Source organism: Homo sapiens, chromosome 1 (genome assembly GCF_000001405.40).
Source record: "Homo sapiens chromosome 1, GRCh38.p14 Primary Assembly".
In the NCBI taxonomy this organism is placed as follows: Eukaryota; Metazoa; Chordata; class Mammalia; order Primates; family Hominidae; genus Homo; species Homo sapiens.
Window position 1 is genome coordinate 119,856,031 of NC_000001.11, and position 6,000 is coordinate 119,862,030.

At 41.7% G+C, this 6,000-nt stretch overlaps 1 annotated feature.

Moving 5' to 3' along the window:
• Positions 2,636-2,930: a silencer, noted in NCBI's record as "tiled region #12070; HepG2 Repressive non-DNase unmatched - State 23:Low". NCBI's record gives its function as "represses a minimal TATA promoter and a strong SV40 promoter by Sharpr-MPRA in HepG2 cells {active_cell/tissue: HepG2}" and the evidence as "EXISTENCE:reporter gene assay evidence [ECO:0000049][PMID:27701403]".

Sequence of the window (6,000 nt, forward strand, 5' to 3'; positions counted from 1 at the left end):
CCTTCACATATATATATGTGGGTGTGGGTGTGTATACGTATATGTATGTCCTAAGAATCATTAATTAGACATATATGTGAGTATCTATTTCTGGATTCTCTCTTCTCTTCCACTGATATATGTTCTATTTTTTTCAACAAAATACATGATCTTGATTTTCATAGCTGTAGAGTAATTCTGGAAATAGGTAGTGAATTCATTCACCATTATTCTTTTATAATATTGCTGTCTTATTATTATTGATAATTGACATTACCATATAAACGGTAGAATCAGCTTGTAAATTTCTACCAAAATGCCGGTTGGAATTTTTATTAGAATTGCATTAGATCTGGAGACCAATTTCTGAAGAACTGACTTTTTAAACACAACAACTCTTCTTATACATGACAAAGTTTATCTCCCCACTAATTTAGTTATTTCATGATTTCTCAAAGTGATTTTTTTTTGTAGTTTTTGGTGTACTGGCCTTGAATAAATTTTGTTGACTTTCTTTCTTTCTGTCTTTCGAGACAGAGTCTCGTTGTGTTACCCAGGCTGGAGTGCAGTGATGTGATCTCAGCTCACTGAACCTCTGCCTCCCAGGTTCAAGTGATCCTCCTGCCTCAGCCTCCTGAGTAGCTGGGACTACAGGCACATGCCACCACGCCCAGCTAATTTTTTGTATTTTTAGTAGAGATGGGGTTTCGCTGTGTTAGGCATGATGGTCTCAATCTCCTGACCTCATGATCTGCCCACCTCGGCCTCCCAAAGTACTGAGATTACAGGTGTGAGCCACCTCGTCTGGTCTGTTGAATTTATTTATAAGCACAACATGTATTTAGATGTTACTCTAAATGAAATTGTATTTTTATTTCATTTTCCAAATGCTCATTGCTAATATACAGAAATACAAAAGACTACTTATATTGAGCTTATATTCTGCAATGTTACCGAACTCACTAATTAGTTTTGGTAGATTTTTGTAGATTTCTAGGATTGTTAACCTACACACAGTCATCATCTGTGAATAAAGACAGCTTCAATTCCTTATTTTTAAATTTTTCAATACTTTATTTATTTTTCCTACTTTTTTGCATTGATTTAGATCTCTAGTATAATGCTGAATTGAAAGAGTAACAACAGGTATTCTATTTTTTTCTCTGATTTAATAGAAAAGCATTCAATCTTATGCCATTTAATATAATGTTACCTGTGGGTTTTTCAAATCTGCACTTAATGAGGTTGGAATTGGTGCCTTCTGTTCTTATCAATCTGAGAGTTTTCTGGGGTTTGTTTTTATAAATCATGAAAAAAGTTTTCAATTTTGCCAAATGCTTTTACTGTGTATGTCAGGGTAATCATACAGTTTTTCTCTTTTGCACTGATAATACAAAAAAATATATTTTTTAAATATAAAAAAGATTTCTTGAATCAAGCTAGGACAGTTTTTTTTAATTATAAACTTTTAACAAATATATTGAAATGTAACTTACATACAAATAACTGCACATCATTAAAGTGTATAATTTTAAGAGTTTGATCACAGTATACATGAGTCAAAGAGAAAGGACAGAAAATACTAAGTATGGCTCAGCATATGTGGTCTGTCTTGGTGAATGTTCTATGTGAGTTTGAGAAGAGTTATTTGTTAGCTGTTCTTAGACGTATTTTGCTTAAATGTCGACTTGGCTAACTTCTGTCATTGATTGTGTGAATTAATTTTGTTCTAGTGGGCAGTAAAATTACTGCCTGATCACATTGGACTTATGTGGATTTGGCTTATGTTTTATTACAGTGGATTCACGGAAAGCCCACAGCATTTCCCAAGACCCTCTAATTTGGCAGGACTCAATCACCAATCCACCCCTTTGTGGATTTTGACAGGGTTTGATTTCAGGCTTTACTAGGGCTGGTCTAGAAGGGGTTTTAAAGCATGACACTTATTCCTAAAGCACAGCCATTCTAGTGTCTTAGTTGGATACCTGGGTGCTAATGAGGTGTGCATGGGTTCTTCCCACCCTGGATGGCAGGAACTCCATCATCCATTCCCCAATCCTCCTCCACCTCAAGTACCGCTGGTCCAAACTCAATTTTATAACAGCCACCCCTCTGTTAAATCTGTTAGTCTTTTCCTCGTGCAGGTACAGTCTAGTCCTTGATAAGTATGCACATGGAACCCCACATGGACTTCGAGAGCTCCCCCTCTGAACAGCTGTCTCCTATTGGTGCCCTGCCCTGCAGATTGCAATTTCTTCAGTGGCCTTGAACTCTGATCTCTGCCTTCTTTCTCAGCTCAGTGGGGCTGCCCTGCTCTGAGTGGACTCTAGCCCACTGTGCAGCTGCTGAGAAATTCTTCCCAGACAAAGAACTAGGAAATCACAGGGCTTCTCCCTTAAGTATCCTGTTGTACTGCCTGTTGTCCACTGTCTGAAAACAATTTTATGGTTGTTTATGGAGGCAGGATTGGTCTGATATGATTTATTCTAACAGACAGAAGCAGAAATCTGTTATACTCTTTAATTATTGTGTCTTTATAATATTATGGTAGACAGAATCCTAAGATGACCCCCAGTGATCTTTGCTCTTATATAATCACTTCTTCCTGAGTGTAGACAAAGCCAGTGATGAGCTATCACTCCTGTGATTCTGTTACAATTTGTGGCAAAAACAAGTCAGCAGATGTAATCGAGATCCCAAATCAGTCAAATCTAAGATAGAGATTATCTTATGAGCTTGACCTAATGAAGGTGAGTTCCTTGGGGGGACTGAGGTCTTCCTGGAGAGATGTGAAGTGCAGGAGGGTTTCCATGCAGGGCGATTCTCTCTGCTGGCTGGAGGAAGCATGCACTGGGAACACAGGAGGCCTCTAGGAGCAGCGAGAGGCCCCTGGCTGACAGCCAGCAAGAAAACAGAGATCTCAGTCCTACAGTCACAAGGAACTGAACTCAGCTGACAACCTGAGGAAACTTGAGAGGAAGTTCTTCCCCAGAACCTCCAGAAAGAAACCCAGCCTAATCTCAGCCTGTGAGGCCCGGAGAAGAAGACCCAGCTAATCCAGGCCTGAACTTCTGATCTGTGGACACTGCAAGAAAGTAAATGGTTGTTATTTTAAGCCTCTAAAGCTTGCAGTAATTTTGTATGCAGCAATAGAAAATTAATACAAATAAAATGAAGAAGACTTTGGAGTGGGGACAAGAATGAAACGGTGGGAAAGGGATGCCTGTATGCTGATACGGTTGATGCCTGTATGGTTGAATTGGGTCTACCATTCCTCAACTAATTAGCTATGGTCTATTAACGTGCGTAGCTATACACAAATACTGGTACTAGGTTGAATCCTGAGGGAGAAGATATTGCATTCTTGAGAGCAGACGAGAACATCCTGAATTTGGGGTCACCGTATCATAAGTCATATACCAGGTCCCTCTGGGAAGGCCTAGAGGAAGATTTACAGGATACACTTGTGACAACATTGAAGGCTTCTTTCTTCCCCAAAGGGACCCGATCTCCCCTCAGTCAAGAAGCTCCAGGTCTCAGAACTGGACGACAGGTTATAAATTCCCACTATACTGATTCCATCAAGCTTCTGTTCACAGAACTAGAGTTTATCAGTAAAAGATAGACTCATGGAAGTCTAGGCATTTATTCTCTTATTTTATATAAATCAGTTAATATGCAGGAACAAAACAGACTTTGAAGAAAGAAAGTCACAGTTGCCACAGGAAAACAGCTTCCACATCCTCATGAGTCATCATGAGTGTTCTGTTGGGAGGACTTGATATGAGGGTTTCCTCCTCATGGGCTAGTACAGATCCGGGGGAAATGTCATCAAGTCCTCGATTCGGAGTGTAGCAGCTGGGGCTGTTGATTTGTTAGGCCTCCTGCAGCTGGAGATGCAAGTAGTGCATTTTCATGTCCACCGCAGGTGTCCTTAGGCTAGCATTTTCAGAGCCAGAATCCAACAAGCCATAGAAGCTCTGAGTATTTCCCTTTCCTCAGTCACCCACATAAAAGGCTTCAGGTCCTTCTGGGGAAGACCTGGAGGAAGATTTACAGCATACACTTGTGGCAGCATTGAAGGCTTCACTCTTCCCCAAGGGATCCAATCTCCTCTCATCTGAACTTGATACCAGGTCATAAATTCCCACTATGGTAACTCCAACAGGTCTCTGTCCTCAGAACTAGAGCTTTCCTAATTATTACATAAGTTGGTTTCTTAGTGGATTTCCCATCCATTACATCCCAGACACCTCACAATGATTGGTCACCACCACGTGTCCCTGCCTCTCAAGGAAATCCCTTCGGCCTTGTCTCTAGACAGCCGAGTCCCATGGCCTGTCCTCTACTCTTCCAGAACCCTGCTGTTCTCACTGACAGCAGGGAGGGCAAATCCATGCAGCATCTCCCGCCATGACCTCCAGCCTGCAGAGGAGAGGCGCCACAGGACCTTTACACACACACTGCTGTTCCCCTCACCCATGCATTTCTTAATGCCTTGGTGAGAAGAATGTCTCTGGATCTTCCTTGATGGGAGCTAAAAGAACAAAGGTAAATAATGTTATGGGACCCACTGAGAATTGGGGCTGTGGAAGAGTGGCCACTGAAGTAATAGACAGATGCAGCTATTGCCAGATACTCAGTGCCAGAGCAGGGAGGGAGAGGGAAGAAATACGGACCTCACCTTCCTCTCACTTCCAGGCTCCACTGGGTGCCCCCCATTGCTAAACCTAACTGGAAGTGTGCACGCAGGGGAGCCAGGGATGCATTCTAGAAGGGACAAGCCCCGAGTGGCATAAGACAGGGTGGAAATGAGTGGAGAGTGGATCTGTGGTCAGGTGGAGGGGATGTTATAGGGGAAACAAAAGGAGCATACTAGCTAATAATGCTAGATGACACTAATATCCCAAAGTCTTTGCTCTATTCAGAAAAGAAAATTCAGCATAAAGCACTCAACCAGGAGTCAAGATATTATATTTTCAACTGTTGTTCCAACAGCTGTATTATAAAGGGCCAGTTCATTTCATGCCTTTTTAATTTGACTTAAACTGCCAGGTGGCATTGGGGCTGGCACAGCCATGTTCAATTATGTGTTGAAGAATACACAGAGACTGCCAGGCTGAGGGAAGATACAAGAGAATAGAAGAGGTGCTCACAGAGAACAACAGACCATGAGGCCCCAGAGTCAGTTGCAGCAACAGCCACTATCGGCTGCTCATTTTCCCAGACAGAGCCCACAAGCCTCAGCCATGCTTTGCTTCTGCAGGATGCTTCTTCACCTTTTCAATAAACCTGCCTGAATTTAAGCTGACAGGAGTTTATTTCTCCTTCATCATAAATGAAATTCTTCACCACAACAATCCCCAGTGAATTGTGGGCACAGAAGGCAGGCCCATCCCTGCTTCTGTTCCACTATCTCCCTGTAGGCTGAAAAGGAGGAGGTACTGAATTAACTCCAAATGTTCCTCTGGCTCCGATATTCTGTGATTCTGGTTTCTTTTCGGCTACTTTGCTTTTGGAAGCATGTATCCTAAGGCGTCCAGTTGAACAACCTTTGTCTACTGTGTCCGGGCATTCCTGGTGGTAGTTCAGACAAGACACTCTTGGGTTGCTGCACTCACAACCACTGAACCAATTCTATGACCATCTGTTTCATGGCCACCTGTTTGCTCATTTTGTGTGTACATAAAGGGAGGAGACAGACAGCAAACTTGCATGTTATAAATTGTATCATCTTAGGAAACAAGGCAAGACTTTGCAATAAAACCTTAAGATGCATTAATTTTAATCCTAATGCAATAAAGAATGCCCATAAAATTCTTATCTAAAGAATGTTTAGAAAGTTGTTGAACAAGGGACATCATCATTTAAAGTGATATGAAGAAACCTTCTCAGCTAAGCATACGGGCTAGATTAGACAGAAAAGTAAAGGACCCATCTCTGCCCTGGAAAAACTACCGGTAGCATCTTTCAAAAAGCTCTCTGTGTTTGAGTACATACCTTGATCCATAGGCTCACATT